Source organism: Homo sapiens, chromosome 2 (assembly GCF_000001405.40).
Source record: "Homo sapiens chromosome 2, GRCh38.p14 Primary Assembly".
Taxonomy (NCBI): Eukaryota; Metazoa; Chordata; class Mammalia; order Primates; family Hominidae; genus Homo; species Homo sapiens.
The window spans coordinates 8,714,936-8,742,483 of NC_000002.12; the positions used below are offsets into that span (position 1 = coordinate 8,714,936).

Below are 27,548 nucleotides of genomic sequence, written 5' to 3' on the forward strand. Positions count from 1 at the left end.
CTGGCCAGGCCCAGTAGCTCATGCTTATAATCCCAGCATTTTGGGAGGCCGAGGTGGAAGGATTGCTTAAGCCCAGAAGTTTGAGACCAGCCTGAGTAACAAAGTGAGACCTTGGTCTCGACAAAAATTTAAAAATTAGCTGGGTGTGGTGGCATACACCTGTGGTCTCAGCTACTTGGGAGGGGCTGAGGCAGGACCCCGGGAGTACGAGGCTGCAGTGAGCTGTGATTGCACAACCACACTCCAGCCTGGGTGACAGAGCGAGATCCTGCCTTAAAAAAAAAAAAAAAATAAGGAATCTAAAAGTCACTTATAAAAGATGAGACTTTTGATTTTTTAAAAATTTTTGTGATAGTTATGTATGCTGTTCTAGAATTTCACAATACAATCAAGAAAGCCCCAAGGTAAGATGACACTATGAAGACTTCTCTGGAGGAGCTGTAAGGTGATCCTTGTTTTTCTAACCAACCAACTTTCTACTCTCTCCTTGCTATGATCTCCTCTCCTCTTGGTTCAGACTTATGTGAATTTTCTCCCTACCTCAAACCTATTAATTGATTTATTTTGTATTTCTGGAACATAATAGGGGTTATAAAATAATTTAAAGGAAAAAATACTAAGTACTTCTTTCCACCTGTGCTTTAAACTTGACCCCTGGCTACAGAGAAGAACTTAAATAACTTGCCTTTGTTAAAATTATTTTTATTTAAAGAATGTATTTAAAAAAGCTAGGTGTCTTCTTATGACTATCTCTCCTGCTTTCTAAAAGGAATCCATTTAGAAATTAACAAATAGGTCATGCAGTACTGGTGCTTCGTCTCACAAAAGGCAGCTCTGCAGATTGGAAGCCTGTGGCCTCATGGAGGGGCCTCTCCAATGGCATGAGAGCCCAAAAATCTTTTCCTTCCTTCCCATCTCCTATTCTAGATTCCTTTCTATTCAGTTTTCTTTCTTCCTGATATGGTTTGGCTGTGTTCCCATGCAAATCTCATCTTGAATTGTAGTTCCCATAATCCCCACATGTTGTGGGAGGGACCCAGTGGGAAACAATTGAATCATGGAAGTGGTTCCCCTATGCTGTTCTCATGATAGTGAGTGAGTTCTCACGGGATCTGTTAGTTTTATAAGGGGCTTTCCCCTTCACTGGGCACTCATTCTTCTCTTTCCTGCCGCCTTGTGAAGAAGGACATGTTTGCTTCCCCTTCTGTCATGATCATAAGTTTCCTGAGGCCTCCCCAGCCCTGCAGAACTGTGAGTCAATTAAACCTGTTTCCTTTATAAATTACCCAGTCTCTGCTATGTCCTTATAGCAGAGTGAGAATAGACTGATACACTTCCATTTTTAAAGTGTGTGTATTTTCCTTGCAGGTGCCTGAGTACTGAGCTTTGCACTTTGGGGGATTAAAAACAATGGAAACATAAATCCTAAATGAAAGAATTTCAAAATTTCTGGCAAACAACACTTATGTAAAATTAGAAGCTAATACAAGAGGGCAGAGTATAATCAAGTGTGTGATTATGTGTTAGTGACTTTAATTGCAGCAGAATTTTTTTAAATAAGCAGGAAAATAGGATCAAAGTAGCCTGAAAAGGTCTCATGAGGCTGGGCTTGCAGGAAGCCAAGGATTTGGCTTGCTTGGGTGGAAGTCATTCTCGATTTGATGGGAAAGGGGGCTTGTAGAGGCTGCTCCCCTTCTCATTTGATGACATCAACTTTCTTCATCCTCTTTTCCTTTTTATCTCCATTCATCTTTGTGCTTCTCTCTCGGGCTTGCTGGGTATCTCGAGATTTATAGCACTGAGATGTTTGCCCATGACCGTGTTTTATGGATTATGCTTTAGGTATAGCACGTAAAACTCCCCATGAAACCCAAGGTCATGTAGATTTTTTCTGATGTTTTCTTCTAGGCGTTTTACAGTTTTGCATTTTACATGTAGATCTATGATTCTTTGAGTTAATTTTTGTGTAAGGTTTAAGATCTATAGGATCTCTTGGGGATGGGGGAGAACATATAGACATCCAATTGTTCTAGCACCATTTATCCATATAAAGGATAGCTGAAAATACTATCCTTTATCCATCCATTTAATTGCTTTGTGCCTTTGTCAAAATGTATTTGGGGGTTGACATTTTGGGTCTTTGTTCTGTTCTATTGATCTGCGTGTCTACTTTTAAGGCAGTCCCACACCATCCGGGTTACTGTCATTTTATGTTCAGTTGAGCTCAGATAGGATGACTGCCTTCTCACCCCAGCCACTCTCCTGTATTTGCCTATCTCCCTGTTTATGGGTTTATGAGGAAAATTTTTCTTCTTCTCCTTCATGTAAAATAAAGTTCATAAAATTTTCAATAATACTAAATAAAATAATATTTTAAATATTTTTAAACAGTTGTGTTGAGGTATGATGTACATGCCCCAAAACTGACTTGTTTTAATTGTATTACACTTAAAGTAGTTTTGGGTGTGGAAAGTGTTGCTTTCCTCTGACATCTATGCCCATGTATTCTGCCTCCCTCCCATTGCGATGGATTCCATTGTCTGTGTTCCTGGGCAATGCCAGCCCTCCACTTGGTCTTTTTGTTTAGTTGAATTATGCCTGCCTTTGTTTCAGAAAACACTAGCACACTTTCCTCATCTGTGAATGGATATTGTGAGGGTTAATTTTATGTGTCAACTTGACTGGGCAAGGTATGCCCAGACAGTTGGTAAAACAGTATTTCTGGGTGTGTCTGTGAGAGTGTTTCCAGAAGAGGTCAGAGTTTTCATGAGCGGACTGAGTGAGGAAGATGCACGTTTGCCAGCGTGGGTGGGTATCACCTGATCCGCCGAGGCCCAAATAGGACAAAAAGGTGGAGGAAGGGTGAATTCTCTCCCTTCTTGAGCTGGGACTGTCATCATCTGCTGCCCTTCGACCTCAGAACTCCTGGTTCTCAAGGCTTCAGACTCCAGGACTCACACACCAGCTTCCCCGCCCGCCGCATTTCCCTCACCTTCCATTTCTCAGGGCTTCAGACTTGGGCTGAGTGACATCACCAGCTTTCCTGGCTCTCCAGCTTGCAGACAGTAGATTGTGGGACCTCTCAGCTTCCATAATTACAAAAGCCAATTCTCATAATAAATCTCCTCTTAGGTATCTATCTGTCTGTCTGTCTGTCTATCTACATTTTATTGTTTCTCTGTCACTGGAGAACCTCAATACAGCTACTAACAAGGTAGATTTTATGTAAAAAAATATAAAGCAGAACAGCTAAAATAGAATAAATCTTAATCTAACAATGTTTTCAATTATAGAAAATATTAAATTAATTATGATATTTAGAACAGTTTTTGGTTTTGTTTGGGACAGAGTCTTACTCTGTCACACAGGCTGGAGTGCAGTGATGTGATCACAGCTCACTGCAACTTCAAACTCCTGGTCTCAAGTGATCCTCCCACCTCAGCCTCCCAAGTAGCTGGGACTTCAGCTGTATGACACCATGTCCAGCTAATTTTATTTTTACTTTTTTGTAGAGGAAGGGTCTCACTATATTGCCCAGGCTGGTCCCAAACTCCTGTGCTCAAGCCATACTCCCACCTTGACCTCCCAAAGTTCTGGAGTTACAGGCCTGAGCCACCCTCCCAACCTAGAGCAGTGTTTTTAATGACCAACTCCAAGGCTGAAAAAGAGTTAGTTGCCTTTCGCATATAATTTCTGGAATCATAATATTCTAATGCAGTTTGTAACTAAATTTATACTATTCAAAAAATCTAAACAAAACAGAACCGATGAGTTTGAATTATATTTGAAATATCAAGAACTTTGTAACTTCCAATCGATAAAATCTTTAAAAGAAAATTAATCTTCTAAAAAAAAGAGGTTAAAAATAAACTAATTGGAAAATGTTAGAGAAGTACTTCCATAAACATGGGATACAAATTTCTGACATGCTATTTGTGATCATGTTAATTTGCTAACCCTAGGAACTGCTTATTAATGGAAATATTTTTGCTGAGACATCTGCAATGCAGCTTTGATGTCTTGTTAAACTATCAAAAATACAAGATGCAAATGCTGTATTCCCAAAGCAACTTAAAACTCTTCACAATACACACACATGGCATTTTAAATATTTTGTGATAAGAATGAATTACCTGTGCTCTCAATTCAAAAATGTGTACTTTGAAATAACTTTAAGAGATCATCAATTCTTTTTTAATCATAGAATAGTTTCCCTATGAGAAATGCAAACTTTTTTTGGAAAATAGGTCAAGACACTGAGCATTTTTGACATCCTGGGACTCTTTAGAGAAAAGGATATTTTCTGAAAAATGGGTATAGTGCCATTCCAGATATGCAGTTAAACTTGATAACTCACATCTAATTTCATAAGAAATGAGGGCCGGGTGTGGTGGCTCACACCTGTAATCCCAGCTACTTGGGAGGCTGAGGCAAGATAATCACTTGAACCCAGGAGATGGAGGTTGCAGTGAGCCGATATGGCGCCACTACACTCCAGCCTGGGCAACAGGGTGAACTTGTCTTAAAAAAAAAAAAAGAAAAAAAAGAAATGAGTTTAAGTGTCTAAAAAACAAGGAATATTAGCACCCAAGAAGTCTAATGACAAGAAGCTGTATTCTGCTAGCCAGAAGATGACCCAGAGGAAGAGATCAAATGCAGCCAAAAGTGGGATGAATGCAACCCTCCTGTGTATCATTTGTAATGATAGAAGCACTTCATGATTTCCTCATCGGCAAGCATGAGGGAGCTGGATGAAATGACTGCAGCATTTTCTTCTTACTCCACATGCCTGTGACTGTCTCTTTAACACCCCCTGGAGCCTGGAAACTGAGTTCATCTACATTGCTGGAGAGGCAGAAGGCACAGCAGGAGATATATTAATTGGCTTTGGCATCTGGTGTGAGTTCAAATCCCTGTTCTAACATGTACCAGCTGCGAAGCATTGGGGAAGGTTTTGAAGCCTTGTCTCCCTACAGATTCGGGAGCTGATATTTGCGAAGTGACTAACACGCAATAAGCACAGGGGAGGTAGAACCAGTTTTCAAAGGGATAATTCTTGTTCCTTCATCATTTGTATTTTTAAAAGATAAACTGAGACTGAAAAGTCAATGGCCATTTCATAAATAACAGAGTCAGGCCCATAACGCAAGCCGTGTGACTCAGCTGTTCTTTCAACTTACAATTTATTAACCAAAGAACTCACCAATTCAGAGATGGGTTTGATCAAATCAGCTACCTGACAATGGGAAATTTAAACGCACAGACACACACACACACACACACACACACACACACACACAGCACCAGTTTAAATCTATTTCAAATTAGTTATGCTTACACCAAAAGGCAGAGTTCAGTTTGCGAGATCCCATCAGTGAGGATGGTGTAGCCCGACAGGAATTTTGAGAGAGACAAGGGTTCAAAGATCCAATGAGTTCCTGGACCAGGATCACCTGCAGATCCGGACTCCGTTCCTGTCTACCAGTGAGGCTGCTGTGACTCGAAGGAAGAGCCAAGAGGAAGGAGCCGGGGAAAGCTGGGGCTGCCTTGGCTGAGCACGTGTTTTATGCTCTCCACCAACCTTGTCTACGAGGGAAGATGGAGACAAATGCTGCCCAGGCCTGCGCAGCCGAGAGTGGTGGACACTGGGGGAAGCCGGTACCGCGGTGTGCGTGGAAAATGCATCAGATCTGGACTTAGACAACTGGAGTTGGTGTTTTTGTTCTGTCACTAGCTGGGTGGCTTTGGGGGAGAGAGAGGTCTCCAACTCTTGAATCTTCAGTTTTCTCAAAAATAGATAAAAATAGTCAATGGTTTAAAGGACAGTTATAAAAATCAAATATGCTATTGTGTAAAAGTTATACATTTTCTGCATCTTAGCCTCCTTATTTGTAAACTAGGGAAAGTAACAGTATTCACTGTGTAGGGTTATTAGGATTTAATGAGTTAATCCATGTGAAATGCTGATAGCAGTGTCTGGCTTGCAGCGAGCACTCCAATCGGTAGGCAGCTGGTTACATAACACAGAAATGTCACCAGCCATTTCAACCCACTGTCCACTGTTACTGTTGCATTTATTGGCTTTTGGCTTTGGTGACTGACTTGTCGTTATGAAAGGGAAAAGGGCTCCTGTTTTGCCTATTTTCTTTTTTCCTTATGAGACCACAATCATTTAAAAAAAAAACTCTACAGCAGTAATAATTTTTAAAATGTATATATTACTTATATATTAACATTAAGCATTAATACTGTTCAATAATAGAATATGAAGAAAAATACATATAGTGGTATTTGGGATTATAATCTTACACAGAATAGTGACAAGAGACATATGAAAGGGCAAGTGTATCAAAGCTAGATGACAATAAGACTGCAAATAAGATGAATTTATTCAACACTATGTACAAAGTTTAAGGCCGTGGTCTAATCCATGCATCATAATTGGATGAGTGATATCCATCGATCATTAGCCCGATACTGAACATTACTCCAAAATAATTAGTAGGAACAAAGATGTCTGATGTTAATAAAACAAGACTCTTTTTCTCCATAAGTATAATTCACATGGCTATAGATTTTTAAGTTTTACTTTTCCAAAACAGAAAGCCTTGAAGAGACTCCAAACCCTATTTTAAAACAAGAAAACTGATGATGATGATGATACTGATGATGATGATACAGCAAATAAAGCTAAAATTAAAATGTATCTTGGAAAAATATGAGAATCAGCTCATCCCTAACTGGTAAGGAGCATTGACGGTAAGTATCACGTCAAGAGTGGGCGGCACCTGGAGCCACACTGGCTGGGCCCAGACCCTGGCTCTGCCACTCAGTAGCTGTGTGACTTTGGGCAATTCCTTAGCATCTCTGTGTCTCACTTTCTCATTTGTGAATTGAGAATAATAGTAACTATTTTATGCAGTTGTCATGAAGATCAAATTAGGTCTTAGAACATTGTCAGATACACAGTGTGTTCAAACACGGCAAGCCATTTTATTATAACAAATACATACAATACTTTAGTAAGTATCCAAAATGAGTACAGGATAAAGAATAACTGATAAAATAAATATTCAACACAAAATGTTGAATTTGGGGGTTCAGTTGAATATAAATCATCCCGAGCCCATTAATACTGATAGAGATACAACTCCACATAACCACGCCATATATTAAAATCTCTTTCATTAAACCTAAGCAAGACACCATCAACTACAGGAGTTTTAGGAACCATTAAGAAAAAAAAATGTTGTCATAGATTTTATTGACTGCAAGACATATTCTAATTTCTAACAAGTCAGAATACAAAAAGAAAATATGCATCTTAGAACCGAAGAAATTCTGATATGAGCAAACTGGAAAGTGGTCAGCAGAGTTAGACTGCAGAAGAGTGTGTTTAAGAACAAATATGCAGACACAAAGTCTAGTTTTCCCACTGGCTGCTGAGGTGGAAGATGTGTTTCTGGGACATGAGCGCTCACTTCTGGAGGGTTTAGCATCTCATTAATTACCAATCCCTGCTTACACCACAGAGGGTGTGGACTGGCATGGGAGCCCCCCAGGAACACATCCTGCCACATCTGCAAGAACAGGGAGAAGCCCCCAAGAGTTCCTGTTACCACTGTTCTGGGAGAGAGAGGAGAACCTAAAAAACAGATAGCAATTGAGTGTTTATATTATAAATATTTATAAGCAAATCTTGAAAATTGAGCAGATTCTGGGTGGGTTTGATGATCTGAGAGTCCCTTGAATAAAAAGAATTCTAGAAAAGCTGTGAAACTTCACCTTTCCCCTATTCTTAACCTTACTTGCCTTTGGGAGGCTGAGGCAGGAGGATGACTTAAGGCCAGGAGTTTGAGAATGTAGTGAGCTATGACCACACCGGTTACACTCAAGCCTGGGCGAGACCACAACAAAAACCTTACCTGCCAACTGCTCCATGCTGGAAATTTATTTCGTTTCTTGGATTGTGGAAAGAACTGGCTTACTGAAAACCACACTTCTCTAAAACCCTTCTTCCAGTTAGGTGTTAAGATTTTAACAGCCTTTCCTATCTGAATAAAAACTGCACACAAAGTAAACTTAAGAGATGTCAACAACTCATCTGTTTGTTACAAGATGAGTCTCCATGCTTCATCGCCTGTGGGGAATCCTCATCAGCGTCTAGTGGCAAAGACTCCTGTGTGCTCACCGAAACGCTCCCCTTCCTCCAGGGCACACAGTCACATGGATTTCCCATGCACCCTGGCAGCTCAGCAGGAGTCCATGACTTAAGAAGGCCAATGGACTGTGGGTGAAGTCTGTGGACGGGGAAGCCACATGCGTCACTTCCAGGCCTGGGCGTGTGCATCCTCCACTCTCTTCCCCTGTGGGTGCAGAAGGCGGGGCAGAGGGCCCTGAAACCTTGGAGGTCGGTGGAGCCCAAAATGAAGGAGCGTGGGCCTCTGGGTCTTCATGTAAATTTAGGTAACACTGAACTGTCAGGTGAACAAGAAATAAACGTCAAATGTATTCAGTCGATTAGATTTGGTGATGGTTGTTACAGCGGTTACCCTCCCTCAACATAATAAATTTTCAAACAACTCATAATGGCTCACTCATGTATAAAATATTCCATATGAAATCCCGGGATAACATGCTTATTCTAGCTCAAGCTTAATCAGAGTAGTCCATCTGAGGGAGGAGATAGTAGAGGGCAGCAAGGGGTTGTCACTGAAGATAACTAGCCTTGCTAAAAGAATGGTTGAAGAAGTGAGCTACAGATAGGGTAAATCCACATCTCAGACATTCTGTGATGGTCCTGATATTATCCTAAAGTAAAATGTAGAGTTGAACCATTTTAATTAGATTCTAGAATTCTATTAATTTATAAGATGGGCATTTCCACAAAGGACTAAACAAAGTACAAGAGGATTAAATAATCATCCACATGGGAGGCACCGCCTTGCACTTTAAAATGATGGAGCTTATCAAGACTGGCTGTGGATATCTGTCCCTGGGAGGGTTTTTTCCCCCATTTTTTTCCTTTTTGAGACATGTTCTCGCTATGTTGCCCAGGCTGGTCTTGAACTCCTGGGCTCAAGTGATCCTCCCGCCTCAGCCTCCCCAAGTAGCTGGGATTACAAGTGCATGCCACCATGCCTGGCTTAGGTCCCTAAGAGTTTGCAACAAAGCATGCTATTGTGGTTGAAAGATTTCCAAAAGCACAGCAGAAAAGCTTACAGGGGCCAGGCAGGTGACAGGGTGGGCAGAAAGTGAGAGGGAAGGTGGGACCTGTAAGGAGCTGTGGCACAACAGCACAATGTTAAGGGATTTACATTCAGTATTTTATGAGACGGAGTCTCACTCTGTCGCCCAGGTTGGAGTGCAGCGGTGCGATCTCGGCTCACTGCAACCTCCGTCTCCCACGTTCAAGTGCTTCTCTTGCCTCAGCCTCCTGAGTAGCTGGGGCCATAGACACCTGCCACCACGCCCGCCTAATTTTTGTATTTTAGTAGAGACGGGGTTTCACCATGTTGGCTAGGTTGGTCTTGAACTCCTGACCTCAGATGATCTGCCCATCTCAGACTCCCAAAGTGCTGGGATTACAGGTGTGAGCCACTGCACCCAGTAATTTGAAGGCACTGTGTAGGATTTGTGGGCAGACACTCTCAGAGTTGCCCCCCTAGTTTATTCATTCACTTAACAAGTTTTAATTATTTATTTATTTGAGACAGGGCCTCACCCTGTAACCCAGGCTGGAGTGCAGTAGTGTGATCACCACTCACTGCATCCTCAACCTCTCAGGCTCAGGGAATCCTCCTACCTCAGCCTCCCGAATAGCTGGGACTACAGGTGCACACCACCATTCCTGGCTAATTTTTTTATTTTTATTTTTGTAGAGATGGAATCCCATTATGTTACCCAGGCTGGTCTTGAACTTCTGGGCTCAAGCCATCCTCCCACCTTGGCCTCCTGAAGTGCTGGGATTATAGGCGTGAGCCACGGCACCTGGCCAACAAGTATTTACTGAATGTCCACTGGCTTTCTGAGATCTAGGATTTGGTCTAAAAGATATCTCGAGGCTCTTTCCCAATCTATTGCTCTAAGAAATGTTTTACAGTAAACTAGGATGGTAACCTAAAAAAGAAAAATATATGACAACCTAAAAAAAACTTAACAACACAAAATGACTGAAAAGAACTCAGGTAAAAGGAGAAAAACATACAGAACTTAAAATATAAATTAACTTCTTTCAAAATAAAAATAGTTTAATTTCCATCAAGTATAGCGATATGCAGTCTATAAATTCTCACAAACACAGCTTTAAAAAGTGCAAGTTGCAGGAACTATGATAAATTTGAAAATAACAATCTTTTTATTAGACATCTGACCAAGAGGATGCTGTAAGATGCGCAATGTCAGGTTATATGGAGCTTATTCACATGCTTCTTGCTATACTAAATATACACTAAATGGCTTTTATTTAAAATTTCATAAAAGGAACATTTCATTAAAACCAATTTAAATTCTACAACTACTAAGAACAAATAAAACTAGTAGAGGTGAACAAATCTCTCTTCTCCAGTCGACTGGACAGCAGGATTACTGAGTAGTAGGTAGGCCGAGTCTTCTTCACCCCCTTATTATTTGGTGAGGAAGTCAACTGTGAGAAGTGACTCGAACTGTCAGAAGAAATGAGAAAAGTGCTTGGGTCTATGGGCAGGGTACTAAGATCTACAGCGCCTGTTGCCTTGAAAGAAAACGAGGTAAATGTGTACAAAATGTTAAAATTAGAAAATGATCATGGATAATCAAGGTGGTATTATTTCAAAAGCTTCTTAATTTGAATAATATGGAGCATGTAATTCTACATTGCTTCTAAAAGGAAAGTTTCATTTACTCACGTTCTAAGAATTCAGTTTGATATGTTATTCCATGTTCTGTCAAATCTCAGAAAAACGAAGAAAGGGTTCCTAGCACATACCACTAGTGTAAATAACACTACAAAAAGCATTTAACCTAAGAAAATGGACTTACGTGCAATCTTGGTAAAAAGATGACTGCAGCTGAAGCTCCGCAGGCAGACTCAGAATATTTCGTGTGCTTTGAAGCAGGAACGCTTGTCTTTATATTACGTAATTCATGCTATTGCTCATTTAAGTTGGTCTTTCACTCCAGATAGGTTTTTATTGATTTTTAAAGGGTCATCCTTCGAATAGTTGGGTAATAATTGCTCCTACTTCTTGACTGACCCTTTTATTCTTATACATTCTTTCTTTTTCAAAATGCCACACTGTACTGGGAATTCAGATCTGCCCATCCTACAGCTACCCGGGCCCCACTCAAAAAGGGCTTCTGAGTTCCAGAAAGTCCTCGTCATGAAACATTCCACCTACAGCACGTGTGTGCGACACACACCAGACTCTGATGCCAGTGTAAGCCAAGGCTGTGATTGGCTAATCATTTTACTTAAAAGGTTTTGACCAGGTCGGTGACAATATTTAATTTCTAGCAACCATTTTAGAGGTTTCTTACTTAACTCCGTTTGTTAAAGTGGTGAGAATATAAATTCTCTAATTGGTGAGAACTTTTTTGAACAGCTGGCTTAAAATTACAGCCATGCATCAGTTGACGACAGGGGTACATTCTGAGAAATGCGCTGTTGGACGATTTTGTCGTGGGAGCATCACAGAGCACACTTAAACAGACCTAGATGGTGGCACCCACTACACACCTAGGCTGTGTGCCATAACCTACTGCTCCTAGCTACACATCTGTACAGCACGGTACTGAATACTGCAGGCAACTGTCACCATGCTATCTGCATGTCTAAACATAGAAAAAGGACGGTAAAAATATAGTATTAGAATCTTATGGGCCCACTGTCACAGATGTGGTCCTTTGTTGGCCAAAACGTCCTAACGTGGCATATGACTGCAGCTGACTTCGAAAACTAATTTTTTACATACCTTAGTTTAATCTGGATCCTCTGAAGAGCTATCTATCTCAAGGCCAGCATTTTCTTCCTAGGCATGAAAGGGTTTAAAATTATGTAAGATTGTAAATTCTCTATTTAATCAGTCTCAACCAGGGATTCTCAACCTTTGTGATAAGCCATTAAAAAAACTATCCAGTGCTGGCTGTTGTCTATACGTTTCTATTTTTCAATTCAGTTGCATAATTATGGCCTATGCTTAGAATTCTGAGGTAGGGAAGGATAGGGAGTACCACAGCCTGGAAACTCAAAACGCGATAGTCTCAGAGAGCCCACCTGAGTCTGCTCATGCTGCCCCCGCAAAAGAACAGTATCCCCACTGGTTTCTTCCCTTCCGCCCAGTGTCGGCGTGCGCCTGGAAGAGAAGGTGGGAATAAAGGAGGCTCGATGCTCAGTCTGGAGTGCTGGCCAAAGAAGTTAACTTATGGCACCTTCCCTTTTACCCACGTATTCCCTCAAGTCACTCGCCCATGAAGGGGCACGGTGCCTTCTAGTGCTTTTCCTGGTAGATAGGTTGATTTTACTCAGGAGTTAGCCAGGAATTCAGAGATTCCTGGATTTTTAAACTATGGGATACTTCTAAATAGGCTGAGAATTCCGGGTGTAACTAAAAATCACCTTTTAAATTTAGTCTTTTACCCATAAGATTTACTTCCATTCAAAAAAATATCTTCTAATGGTTAGTATTTGTAAGAAAAAAATCATGATTACAAATGTATTTTACTGCAGCAGTCTAACATGCAAATGTTCTAAAAAGGTCTCGAGAGTAGCATTTTCGCAAGTAAGTTTCATTTAAAATTACTTGGCTAGGCAATCAAAATCATTCTGACCACTATATAAACCCATATAAGTAAAATATAACACATAAACACATTTTGCTTTTAATATTGAAAATGTTGGTTATTATGAATGCTTAAATTTCCCAGTGTTGGAGAGCTGATCCCTAAATACCCAGCACTGCGGAAGTTATTTCAACTGAAAGAGAAAAACAGCTTCTTTTATTTCCAGTCTTCTCCTGCAGAAAGCCTGTACTCACAGGCAGCACTCCGTAAGGCCACGGTGAATGAATCTGGCTTAACATTTGATACATTATCAGAACTATCTGTGGCTTACAGTGAAGGCAAAATGGTATATAAAACACAAGACTCGGCTGGGCATGGTGGCTCATGCCTATAATCCCAGGCCTTTGGGAGGCCGAGGAGGGAGGATTGCTTGTATCCAGGAGTTCGAGACCAACCTGGGCAACATAGCAAGGCTGCATCTCCTCAAAAAATAAAAAATTAGCCAGGTGTGGTGGCACGTGCCTATAGTCCCAGCTACTCGGGAGGCTGAGCCCAGGAGGTCGAGGCTGCAGTGAGCCATGATGGCGCCACTACACTCAGCCTGGATGACAGAGTGAGAGACTGCCTCAAACAAACAAACAAACAAACAAACAAACAAAACCACAAAAAACCCCACAGGACTCTAAATGGATAGAATCTAAGGGCAAGATTAGAGCACCAATTTCTTTTTCTATCATTTTGCACCCAGTTTAAAGCAGAGTTTTGCATGTGTGAGAATCAGACTGAGCTATAAACAGATACACACACACATAGACGCACAGGTTCAAGGGAGATGGTCTATGACTCAATAACTCATCTGGTTTGTCAATTTCGGTATCAGTATGAAAAAGCAAACTTTTCCAGGAAGTTCATGGAATAAACTGATATCCTCCAGGTTCTGGATAACCTACCTTTTCTATCTACAGGAACGCACTGCACAGCGCTGCTGGGCGCTAGCATGCTGTGGGCACAAACGCTTCATAAAGCACCACTGAGGCACTGGGACTTACGAGCCACATTCTCTTAAAAAGACTAGTTGGGAGCAGTTCAGAACACTTCTGCCAACTGCATGACTGTACATGAACCTGAAAGTCTTTAACAAACTTCAGACATGTGACAAAACAAACACACAAACTACTTTTATTTTTAATCAAAATGTGAATCATCATAGTGAATAAAAATTCATGAGTCAGAATAGCATGCAATTTTTTATTGTTTTCTAAATCTATTTGTACACTTAATATGCTAGTATTAATTTCACAAACAGTATAAAGAATGTACTCCAATGATATTACGCGGCAACTACTCACCTGAAAAAGAAAACATTGTCTCTGAAATAATTCCTAATTATACAATTTTGCAAATAAGCACTATAAATGTTAAAATGTTAAGACTTCAGTGTATAATGTCAATAACATCCTGCCTTTTTAAAATTGCTTAAAACATTTGTTAAAGATCATGCAAAATAAACACTGTATTAAAATGCTAGATTACACTCAAACATCAAGGCAATGAAACACAAAAGAGCAACTATTTAGCACAATGACTGGCCCAGTAAATAACTTAATCAGCATATTAATAAAAACCCACTGAGTGATAAACATCGAAAATGTAACACTGAATCTAGATAATAGCGCATCTGCGATCTCACCATCTACCGTCCTAACTGTGACTTGGGGTAAACCACCAGAATTCATTCTACATAAATGAGCTATGTTAAAACGATAACAATATTTCATTGCATGATGACAGGGTACATTTCTAGTCCACACAGTACTTCAATGTGACCATTCTCTTAACTCGGCTAATAATTAATGGAAAGTACACTTTTACAGTCACAGCACTTATATAGATATATATATATATTTTACCCTTGCTTTGTTACATGTTTCCAAATTTTTTTTTAAAAAGTATTTCCTTTCTTATGATCCTTCCCCAGAACTAACATGCTGACTTAGGAACAGATGAAGTAGATAAAGTCTATCCTAGTATAGAGAGCAATGATTTAGTTTTACCTAATTAAATATTTCCTTGTCATTTATCAATTGTCACTGACCTTTTTGATGTAATTATTTCCTCATTCACTCATCTATAAATATTTATTAGTACCTATTATTACCCATGTCTCCCTGATTTTCCAGAAAAAGAATTCATGTTTTTTTTTCTTCTCATTGCTAAGCTCACTTAGAAAAGTTGGGCACCATTTAAAAGAGTTGGAGAACAGACCAGGGTGGCTTCTTGGGCACAGCTGGATGGTGCTGGAAGCCAGGCCTGGGATTTGGAGAGAAGAGTTTCCGACATATAAACCCACGGAGGTCACCAGCCCTCCCCGCATCTACTCTCCTAACAGCTCAGGACAGCCCCGTCACACTACTGCCAGCCCTGGTGACTCACTTTGTTGGCAATTTTTAAAGCCCTCTTCATTATGTACTTCCTACTCTTCAGAACCTCTGTGATAAGCAATACCCCTGCCATACAGAACGCTGGATCTCGGTTTACTCAGCCTCTCCCTGTAGCGTCACAGGCTGTGCACTCACCTAGGTGAGCCCCTAAGAGCAGGGTTTGCTTCTGCTTCACCTAACGCCACGTCTTCCCTCAAATGTGTGGTCACCAAATGTTTGCAAAAAGGGTCTCTAGCTTTTTTTCTTTTTGGCACATTAAGCCCTTTAAAATACTTCTGACCTATCTTTATACTCAGATCTCACCTCGTCTCAAAAAGTTTTATGGGGTAATGCGCCAATGAAAGGTACAGTAGTATTAGTGAGTTCTGAAGCTTCTAATTACAAAGACCACAGAGGCTGGCTGGTGAGCCATGCTTCTCATGCTCCCTTCTGTCACACTGCAGATGTCTCTTTTACCTCGGCCTCATCATCGGTTAGTTATCTGTCAGCAAAATGTAGAAAGGTGATGGGCGTGGATGGAGTCAAAATCCAGGACAATTCTGTCATAAAGGTACAGTAACACTCTTCTCCTTTGCTTGTTTTTCTCAAAGAATGCTTTCTCTTTCTTCTCCAAAGCCTGTGCTCTCAGAAGAGGCTGCTGCATGGAGCTCCGGAGGATCTTTGGAGAGCCTTGTGTAACTTGAACGTTGGCTTCGCTTATGTGTCATGCTTTTTAGATTCTCATTCTGAATAGTGGTTGGGTTGGGACTGGAACTAGGCCTCAAAATGACTTGAGAAGTCTCCCTAATTCCCTCCATCTCATCGAAATTTTGATTGGCTCTGTTGGCTGGAGCACTATTGTTGTTCAGAGTCACGGTGCTGGGAGTTCGGTTCAGGTTGTAGGCTTTCTGGCATGCAGGCCAGTTTTCTTCAGGGCTGCTGGCTATCAAGCTGCATTCGGAAGGGCTTTTCTTGTCTTCTGAACAAATGGACATCCGAGCTATAATTGGATCTTGCAGGCCACTCAGGCTATGTGGGATTCCCCGCTTTCCGCTGTGACTGTCATCTTCCAGCTCTATGAGATTTGCCTTTTCAAGCTGGGAGTCATCCGCCACTTCATTGTGCAGAGAGTGATTGGGAGAACTTTCACTGGATCTCACTCCTGAATCCGATGAATCCTTTTTGTCAAGGAGCGCATCCGATAAATACTCTTTGGCTTTAATGAAGGTTCTGATCGGCTCAGCACTGTGTTCTGGAGACTTCGGCACTCTCTCTACTTTCCCTTCGGCTTTTCTGTCTTTGTCATCTTTGAGCAGTGGAGTGTTATCTGATTCTTCTGTGCCAGATTCATCCTCGTCACTTGGGAGTTTTTGATAGCGCAGCCCACTTCCCTTAAGCTTCAAATCTGTCTGGAAGAGGCTTGACCTTTCGGAAGATTTCTTGCCTGGGAGAAGCTTACTGCCTGACTGATCTGATTTTTCATCTTCTTCAGTGATAGGATCCAGGGGGGAAGCATCGTTGGTGGAAACCCCTGATGATGAATAATCGATAACATCTCCCCTCTTCATTAGAAAGGACTTCCTCCCATCATCGGGCTTTGGTTCACTATCCTTCCCCTTTTCTTGCTCTAGGTTTGAATGAATAGAGCCCCCTGATGAACTCTGACCCATGTAATATGTGCTATGTGGAGAAGATCTGCCACTAATGGTTGTAGACCCGGGGCCCCCTTCTAACTGGGACATCTGAGCAATGTATTCTCTATAGGCATCTCTATACTCGGCCTGCACCTTATCAGTAAGCTTTGAAATTTCAATACTGGAATCCTGGGAATTGAGACTCGAAAGACTTGGGGTTCTGCGAGTTTGTGACTGTGAAGACAGAAAAAAAATAATTTAAAAATTCAAATAAGAAGAAAAAAGGCATAAACATCAGCTTAGGAAATATATATGTACACTAACCATTTAAAAAGTCATCAAAACATCAAATTCTTTTAAAAGAATTCTACATAACACAGATTAACAAAAGCTGTGACCTTATAATGCTGTTACTAGAAAGCTTTCTATAAATTTTAATAAAATCAGTTTATTGTTAATATTTAAAAGTATGATTAAACACTGTATTAACAAATAATCTTAGCACTTGTTTCTGGTTTTTATTTCATTTTTAAGAGACAGGATCTTGCTGTGTTGCCCAGGCTAGATTCAAACTACTGGACTCAAGCAATCCTCCCGCCTCAGCCTCCTGAGCAGCTGGGACTATGGGCATGTCCCACATGCTCGGCCACAGCACTTGTTTTTATAACTTCAAACGTTTAGCTTTTATTTAAGGCCAAAGTCAACTTCATTGATAAAATATAAAATGCAATGAGGCCAATAGTTGGGCCTTAGTAAACAGAAAAATAAAGTAGTTTTACAAGTTTATTTCCAATATTAAGTTTTAGAATTAGAATTTGCTTCAGATCCCAGAATAGCTAAGAAACAAGGAGCAAAAAGTACAGATGAGGAAAAAGAAGGAGAAGAATCAAGAAAGTTTAAGAAGGGTCAAGAGCAAAGGCTAAAACAAAAAAGAAGGAGCAAAGTGAATTTGTTGGGGACCTTCTCAAGGAAATAGGACATTTTCTTCCTTCCCCAAGGCGCTGCTCCTCCTCACCGCTGCCCTGCCCTGCCCACTCAGTGTTACTCGCTGCCGCCCGCTGTGCCTCCTCCCCCGTTGTTCTCCACACCCTGCTCTGCTTTTCCTCCTGCGCTCTCCTCACTCCCGCTACTCCTCCTGCATCTCTCACTTTGCTCTGTCCCTGCCCCTACCCCTACCCCTCACCTGGCCTCCTTCTTCTAAGAATCTCCAAAGGAAGAACGCGCCTACATCTAATGCCAGACCAGAAGAAACCAATATCCGTGAAGGGTGTGCAGGCGTCCTGGAAAACCAAAGGATGGTGCTCAAAGGGACACTATGTGGCCAGTGTTCCAATGAAGATGTACTTCAACCAACAGTTACTGAATGCAACAGGAAGATCGCCTGAGAAAGGCTGAATTTGCTGACCACCCTAGCTCAAGTGGCCTAATCCCTATTGACTCTGCATGCTGTGACCCTGATGGATATCTCAGCTCTCATCAATGTCTACATGAGCTACTTTTTTGTTTGTTTCACTGACTGCCCCTCTCCACATGGATGCAGCTCCTTGAGTACAGGGAGCCCTCCATCTTGTCTCCTGTTCACTTAGGTATTCAGTAAGCATTTTCTGAATGACTGTCTAAATGCCCATATAATCTCAGTGAACTGAACGGTGTGCTTATTCTTCAATAATATGAAAAATGCCATTCAATAAATACCTGCCAACTTAGATTACTGTGACGAGGGGCACCTTCATCCAGGCCAAGCGTGTTCAGCTCTTCGAAGCTGAAGTTGAGTGTGTAGGGCGTCTGGCTGGAGAGCTCGGTGTGAGGCAGCTCGTTGTGGGAAGCGCGGCGAGCAGGCTCACCGTGCGGGGCTGGGCCACTGCTGCTCTCACTGAGGAAACGTGGGTCTTCAGGGACCACGTGGCTTTCTGCGTTTCTCATTTCTAGTACCTTAACAGAAGAAAAACATAAATATTTACACTAACAAATCATATTTTAGAAGCTTTAGAAATATTTAGAAATACCAAACATTATAAAGCTATTGCAACAGCAATGAGAAAGCATACTTCTGGTAAGTGAATTTCTAGTGAATTTGTTTTATACATCAGCTTATCTTTCATGTTCATTAATACTAAAGGAAGCAATGGTAGAAACCACCATACATATACTACACTGCAATTTGTCCATTAAATTATTACTTCTGTTTAAAACTTAACTTGAGGACAAAGAAAAATGCAGCTGGCTTGTGTCAAAACCAGAGCTGGCCAGGAGTAGGGCGGTAGGTCCAGATTTTATTCAGAACTATGGCAACAGGGGTAAGCAGTCTCACTACAGAAGGGAGTCCAACTCGGAATAAGCACGAATGAGTGGGGATCTACCACCAAGGGGCAGGGTGGGGGTCGTGGATGGAACATTACTAAGGGGAGGCAGCAGGAGTGGGGGACTCTTGGTACGCCGATGGCCAGGGTGAGCCGACATCACCTGGGGGTGGGGGGGTTAGTGAGGCGTTTGATCAAATACTGAGGGTGATCACACATGTAAACTGACTTAACAGGATTCTTGCTAAACCTGGGCAATGCAAGCCCTATAAGGATGAATGCTGAAGGTCAAGGCCTCGAAGGCTTTGAGGAGCCTGATGAGAGTTAAGGCAGGTGAAAGCATGAAGAACCGGCAGGCGGCCTCTTCCCCAAATCTCTGAGTGAAATGCCCAAAAAGGCAAAGGCTGCCAAGTGCTGCTGTGTGTATTTTCCACAACACAGGATTGCACATAAGTGTAAGAAGCAGTTTTTAAATTTAAAAAAATATGAAAAAAATACCAGTTTAGGCCAGTACTTATTGATACTGGTTTTCTACAATGTTATAAATAATTTTGAATGTTATCATAAAATAATGTTGTAAACATCACAATGTTACAAATATCTTACTGTGCTTCTGAAAAGGTGCCAGTCTCCAAAATTCATATTCATCTCTTTCTTCAGCTCATCAATGTTACACTGAGCTAACACACGGCCATTTATGTTTGCCTGAGTAAAAATTAAAACAATTATGGGTATAAAGACAGAATGTGAAATATTCTGAATTACTAGTGATTGCCAAGTATGCTTATATTTAGTTTTAAATAAGTCTCTAGAGACCAGAAAGGCTGACCAAAAAAAAGGTTATCATCCCATATAATAATACAATAAACAAGCTGAATTTGAACAACATCAGCCACTTCATATTTTCCCAAATGTCTTAGGCATTTTCTGGGACCAACCGAAGAACTAACCCTCCTATTTCCAAAACTACCTATGCTGTCATGAGCAACAACAAAACTGTTAGTTTTTGTTTTCTAATCTTAGAAAATATGAACATGAACACAAGCTGCTGGGAGGGGACAAAGACATCTGTTCTCATAAGCGTGTTGGTCACTAACAACGTTCTAAATGAAGTAGGCCTGGCAAACTTGTTTATCCGTTATATTAGATACAGATATGAAGAATGCCCACCCACTAATTTTCCAGTCTATTAAATTCACAAGGCCCGGCGCGGTGGCTCACGCATGTAATCCCAGAACTTTGGGAGGCTGAGGTGGGTGGATCACCTAAAGTCAGGAGTTCGAGACCAGCCTGGCCAACATGGTGAAATTCCATCTCTATTAAAACTACAAAAATTAGCTGGGAGTGGTGGCACATGCCTGTAGTCCCAGCTACTTGGGAGGCTGAGGCAGGAGGATCGCTTGCACCCAGGAGGCGGGAGGTTGCAGTGAGCCATGGCCACGCCACTGCACTCCAGCCTGGGTGACATAGCAGGACTCCATCTCAAAGAAAAAAAAAATCATAAAAAAGGAAGTTATTACTTTTGGTTCCCTGTAATTCTAGTTTCCCCTAAATGAAACAACAGCATTTTCTTTATTAATAATAGGTAGCTTACTGCTTTTATAAAATGTAAAACCTGACTTTATTAACTGGGGCAAATTTATGAAATAGCTATGTTTATAATCAATAGAATGTTCAGTTTCCAAGTTAATCCTGAAGAAAACAGTATACACAGCAAGTCTGTGACAGAGGTCCTGCTGCAACAATGCCGCGGAGCCCTAAGCACGGAGGAGGCCAGCGGCTCTGAGGGGCTTCAGAAAGCCGGGGTCTAGGAGCAAAGAGCTGAGTGGGGAGAAAACCACTACCCCGATGGGAACAAAATCATCACAAAGGACTCGTGTGGGAGACCCCGCTCTTTCCTGACACCAACCAGCTGCCTGAAGGAGAAAGTGGGGCTTATCCATGGAAAAGCCGGTGTTTGACTCATGCAAACAGGGACTAGCACGAGCCAGCTCTGTAAGGAAACTGACATTATCTGAAACCTTTCTAAAATTGGCTGAGATGAGTAAAATGGTGTCTACATATGCTCATAATTCTTTAAAAAACTTCTCTCAGATGTCATTCTTTCAAGTATATAAATATTAGAGGCTGGTTATTAACGTTCTACTTTATTACACAGTACTCTGATATAAAAAGTATACCTTAGTGAAATACCTACTATAAAGACTTCGTTAAAACCTTCCCCCAAATCTCAGGCATCTCTAGCCAACTTCCTGATAGCTGCTAGAATTGCAATAGGATCTTAGAAGAAAAAAAAACTATGCAAATGCATTAACCTTGCAAACCCAAACCTATGTGGTTTCATCAAATGTGACATGATCCTAAGTCCTACATGACATGAAAATGAGAATTTGGAGAAAATGAGGCAAGTGTGGCTTACTTTGATAATCACTAAATCACACTAACAAATATTACAATTAGAAAAAAATGTAACACAAAGGTTTTCGGTTCCACACTGGAAAGATGAGTTCTGTTTATCCCAATGGGAATCCCTCAGAGCTTTCTCTTTCTCATCAAGGCATTCTTTACTTGTATTACGTCATTTAAAAAAGAACATGGTAAGACAGCTACTTTATTTTATTTTATCCATTTATAAAATAAGAGAAAACAGGGCAATTTTAGAATACAAACTAGTAAGAATTATGTTTTCCATTTAGAGCTTTCCCATTTTAACAGGGAATGCATGTTTGGGAAGCTATACATAAAGTTTACACGACCCACACAGTCCTGTCTTCCGCCCCCAGCGCTGTCTCTGGTCCGTGTGTAAGTGGCTGCCTCACCTTTTTGATCGTGGTACAATACTGAGGCAGCATACTCTGGTCCAGCCCTTCTATTTGTTTCAGCTTCTCACATACTGCATCCACATTCAGTGAATTCAGTAATACCACTGGGCCTGGGGCTGGGCCTGACCCCTAGAGAAGTCAAGGAAAAATACAGGTATGAATAAGCATTTAATGCCATCTATAATGAGGTCATGTGACAGAGAAAAACTCATTAAGTTATACCATGAAGTAAAGTAAAAAAAAACAAATATGTTTAGCATGGTAAGGAAATACCATTAGGGAACAGATTTAGTTACTGTTATAACCTAATGAGTAGCTTTTATTACAGCTGATACAGCCTGGTCAAAACCATTTTTTCTAAGAAAACAGAACATTTCATGAACAAAGCCTAGGTCAACTTCTCAAATGTTTACTGCCTAATCTCAAGAGAGAAGGGTGCCGTGCTTAATAAGAGGAAGAAGAGAGGTTAAAAAAAACACACACGCAAAAAGATGGAAAACTACTGATGCCAATATTATATGAATACAAAAAATAAACCTACAAAATAATTTTAAAGTACCTATACTAGACAATTAAGCAACTTTGAGTGTTTCTACAGACTACCTCAATGGTTACAAGAGCTGAAGTTTTCAGATCTTCATCATATTGTATCCAAGGGATCTAAAACTTCCTTTAGCATCTGTTAAATCATGATGTAAATACAAAACAACAGTATTAATTCTTAACACATGTGAAAGTAAATACCATCTATTAAAATTTGTTCTCATTTAAAAGGAAAGTCAAAATAATTAAAAAGTCTAGTATTTATTTAGAAGAAAAACATTTTCGGAATGTGGATACTAACAAACCAGTTGTCCGTGGTCAATGATAAATGCATCTTCCCAGCACAGATGTGCTCATTGTGGTTTAGAGGGTGCATCAGCCTGGTCAAAATCAGGACTTTAAAGTCACAGAACAAATAACTAGTTAGTAGTAAACCTGAACCAGAACTGTAACTTATCAGGTCTTATAACTTCCTATTTTCCTTTTTCCAACTTCTTTCACTTAACATAATGTTTTCAAGGTCCACCATGTCATAACATGCCAGTCCTTCATTTCTTCTTATTGCTGAGTCATATTTATCTTTTCTATCTTTCAAATGCTTTTATTCCTCAACCAGTCTCCTTGCTCTGGATACAGTTACAATTGTTTACATTTTTTGTTGTTCAAAAAAATCACAAAAAAATAGTTTAATCAACAAAATAACTAATGATCTTACTGGATTATGCCTCATAGATAAAATAAATTTCCATGAGTCCATAGTAATATAACTAAATAATTGAAAAAAGTGAATTAATTAGGAAGCAGAGACAGCTTTTCTTTACAGAATTCCAATTAATAAATGTAGAACAGGAAAGCAGAAAATGACCATTAGGCAAACATAGTAACAGTGAGTGCACACATGATCCACAGACGGAAGTGAAAATTAATGGGCAAAAGTATAAGCAGAAACGGGATATTTGCAGAGTTTCAAAGTATCTCCTCCAAGATATTCACTAGTTATAGAAGGAACAATAAAACTTTACAGGCTGAAACCTGGCAGATGCCACCTTAACCAAGTGACCAAGGTTAGCATTAGTGGTGGGAAGGCTTATGGACATCAAGAACCTTCAACTCTGATGCACTGGGAAGGGCATAGCATCACTCCTGCAGTTTTCTAGCAATATACAGTCCCCTTGTAATCACGAGGAAACATCAGACAAACCCAAATTGAGGGACGTTCTACAAAATAACTAACCAGTATTCCTTAAAAGTGTTAATTAAGGTCATGAAAGATAAGGAAAGACCAAGAAACTGTCACAGATTAAAACAGACTAAGGAGAAATAAAATGCAACTGAATTGAATCCTGGACCAGAAAAATGACATTTGTGGAAAAGCTGGTGAAATTCATATAAAGTCTGTAGTTTAGTTAATAGTATTATGCCAATTTTAATTTTTGCTTTTGATTATTATACTACAGTTATGAAAGATGTTTACATTGACAGAATAGCATTTTTTGCATCTTTTCTTTAGGGTTAAAATTATTTTAAAGTAAAAAATTTATTTCAAAAATCCCGAAATCTCTCTACTTCCGATTGTGCTAAAAACGACAAGTATAATAGACACGGATCAAATTAATCCTGTCAGCTTTGGAGGGAAAAATGTAAAATACTGAGGAGAATTTTATGTCTATGGAGAAGCTGAGAATTCAGCAACAGAGACATGTCAATAAAGACACCGCCCTTTTCCTTTAAAGCAAAAAGCTCTACCCAATGTTACTTTCACAATCTTTTTACAACTTCTACAATTTATCAGTTACTTTCAAGCATATTTTATCCTTCATTGGGGATTATGTAGAATATATATGTTACCTCTGAATTACTTTTAAAAGCTTTTTAAGAAAAGACAGACACATAGGGACATTAAGATCTTTGTAATTCCATCAAAACTATAGTCTGACCCTTATTATAAGTTGGGCTTTATACAAGAGCTAAATTATCAATTAATGAAAATATGTTATAATATGCTTCTTTGAATAAAGAAGAAATGGTAATTACCTGCTAGACCTTTTCTAAAATAATCATACATAAGAAAATTATTTTGAAACCACATGAATCTTATAACCAAAATAATAATTTGGGGGTGGAAATCTCATAAAAGGGAGGAGAAAGAGTGCAAAAATGATAAGGAAAGGGCAAAAAGCATATTCAATAATTCAGTAGGTAAATTCTTACTAGAAAATAAGCATATTACTTTGAGAATACACAGACTAGTTCAAATAATACTTTAATGTTTATCATGCATTCTTATTGAAATTATCTAAGTCAAGAAGAGACCATTTTAGCGTATTGATTTTAACATCAGAATTTGTTAAAATTTTTTTATGAATCAGAAAGCTGAATGCAGAAGATATTAGTGTGTTTAAACTGTTAAAAATAAACTACAAAATTTACACAGATCAGAATTTCTCCAGGTAAAAGTAAAGCTATCAAAATACTGAAATTACCCTGAGGTAACTATATCACTGTGTATTGTAAGTAGATTAGAACTACACTCTGACACATTATCATCTTTGGTAAATTTATTAAATAAGCACAAAACTGATTAGCCAGAAATGAGTGCCATGCAATGGCTGGAAGCAACTAATAAACCGAACGCACCTTAGTGAGCACAGATTTATAGACAGCCCAGCATGAAGTTGCCAATGATTGCTTCTAGTAGTCTAATAAGAAAAGTAAGATTTCATTGAGAGTTTCTGTACCTGTCTCTGTTTGTTAAACCCAGAGTCACACAGCTTTAAGGAAGGAATAAAACACAGTGAAGGACAAGAGCATAAAGTAACACATCCGATGCACAACTATAAATGTCTAACATACACAGGCAGAGCTTCATCATTCCTATTTCCTCCTCACTCTGAACGGACCACGGACAACAGCACACAGCAAGGAGCACACATGCATGCACACACACCCCCAACCACAGTAGCTGCATTCCATTCACATGTGCTTGGTCATCTTACAATTATACTCCTAAAAAAAATTATATTTTTTGTATTGAAAGAATAAATCATGAGCCATACATTTAATAAGAAAATGAGGTACATCAGATTGGCTATGAAAAGTCAATATTCGTAATATATGCAAGTTTAACATTAATTTAAAAACATTGAATAAGAAGGCTTAGTTACTTAGACTATCACATGATCATAAAATATCTAGCCACACTGTAGGTCATGTTCAGAAATACACTTTCAAATTTGAGTTTTGCTTCTTTGGGTATGTGGCACATAATAGATGCACTAAATACCATTTCATAAGAATGGCCCCAAGAGGCTTCTAGCTCGAGAAACAGACAAACCTTGCAAACTGTGATGAACATAACCATTTCAGTGAGGTGGATTTTTAAAAACTCTAATCCAAAGCAAATAATCACTGCTGGCAGTTATTCTTCTGTACTTAGATTGATAATAAATATTCTTAAAATGCTTAAAATGATCTAGAGATGACTGGCAATTTGTACCAAAGTTAATTTACAACACTGTTTTAGTATATTAAATGGCAGGGTTTTTGCTAGCCTGACGTTTGATGTCTTTCTTTTAACATATTCAATATCTGGGGCACTTCGTGGAAATCCTGTTTTCTAGTTTACACTATCGACCTTATTATAAATAGGTTTTTAAAAAGCTGTCTGTAGAGATTTGCAAAAATACCAAAATAGGAGTGCTAAGGAAATTACAGTTTACTACAAGACATCCAAAACACAAAAGAAAGCTATTATTCACCTGATTGGAAAATATAACTTACTCTTCAAGCTACTTAAGAAATACTAGGTCAAAGCTGACAAATTAGGCATAACACTACATTTTAAGAGCAATCTTTTAAAAAACACAAGTACTGGCAGGGTGTGGTGGCTCACACCTGTAATCCCAACACTTTGGGAGGCCACAGTGGTGGATGACTTGAGGTCAGGAGTTCAAGACCAGCCTGGCCAACATGGCTAAACACTGTTTCTACTGAAAGTACAAAAATTAGCTGGGCTAATTTTTCACTGTGCGGTGGTGCACGCCTGGGTCCCAGCTACTCGGAAGGCTGAGGCAGGAGAATCACTTGAATCCAGGAGGTGGAGGTTGCAGTAAGCCAAGATTGTGCCATTGTACTCCAGCCTGGGTGACAGAGCGAGACTCTGTCTCAAAAAAACCAAAATGAAACAAAACAAAATAAAAACACAAGTACTAAACTACTGCAATGAACATAATTTTGTTGTTTTTAAACTTTTAACTGTACTCTAGGATTTCATAACATTACTGTAATATTATTTCTGTGAAAATATCCCAATCAATTTAGTTGAAAATTGTTTAGGAAAAAAGTTTTCTTGAGTTGAAGTCTGGCACAAAGACTTTCAAGCGGGAAGTGAAGACAATTTTTCACTATACTTTAATAAGAGGCAAAAATGAGTAAATACTTTTCCAAATTCAAACAGAATAGTACAAATCCACTTCTAAGACACTTTAAAAAGTGTGAATGGTGTTAAAGCTGGTTGAGGCTACTGTGCAAAGTCGCTGAGAGCTGACAGGGAGGACCTGTCCTGAGCCTGAAGCCTAAACACAACCTAAAACGCCTTCGACTCCCTACCTATGGCACCTTTAACTTTCTTGTCCACGTCTTCTCCTGAACAATGAGAGACAGCTTAAGTTCTAAACCAGTGGTGAAAATAAAAATTGTCCACAGGTGAGCCCCACTTTTTTTTTTGAGACAAGGTCTGCTCTGTCACCACGCTGGGGTGCAGTGCTGTGATCTTGGCACTCAACTGATCCTCTCACCTCAGCCTCTCAAGTAGGGGGACTTCAGGTGTGCGCTACCATGCCCTGCCTGGCTAATTTTTTTTTTTTTTTTTAAAGAAATGGTCTTGCTATGTTGCCTAGGCTGGTCTTGAACTTGTGGGCTCAAGTCATCCTCCTGCCTCAGCCTTCCTAAGTGCAGGCTTACTGCATGGGCCATCCCATGGGGACTTGTTTTCACTTTTTACTTGGTCACTCCACTGACTGGACCCTGTTTAATGAAAACCAAGACTTTCAGTTTTAATATCTTCATTCA

General features: G+C 39.9%; 1 protein-coding gene across 15 annotated transcripts in view; it reads right to left on the minus strand.

Moving 5' to 3' along the window:
* KIDINS220 (kinase D interacting substrate 220) overlaps positions 6,146–27,548 on the minus strand; it is a 116,533-nt gene continuing 95,130 nt past the window's right edge. For 7 of the 15 annotated variants that reach the window (NM_001348735.2, NM_001348732.2, NM_020738.4 and 4 more), the window contains 4 exons: positions 21,933–22,064; positions 19,720–19,818; positions 18,509–18,745; positions 13,923–17,047 (listed from right to left, as the gene is read on the minus strand). In NM_001348735.2, coding sequence (NP_001335664.1) covers positions 15,785–17,047; positions 18,509–18,745; positions 19,720–19,818; positions 21,933–22,064 — 1,731 coding nt within the window. In that variant the 3' untranslated portion in view covers positions 13,923–15,784. Of the gene's footprint in view, positions 10,733–11,951; positions 12,009–12,253; positions 12,333–13,922; positions 17,048–18,508; positions 18,746–19,719; positions 19,819–21,932; positions 22,065–27,548 lie in introns of those variants that run through there. The other 8 variants (NM_001348741.2, NM_001348738.2, NM_001348739.2 and 5 more) reach the window with 4 other exon arrangements.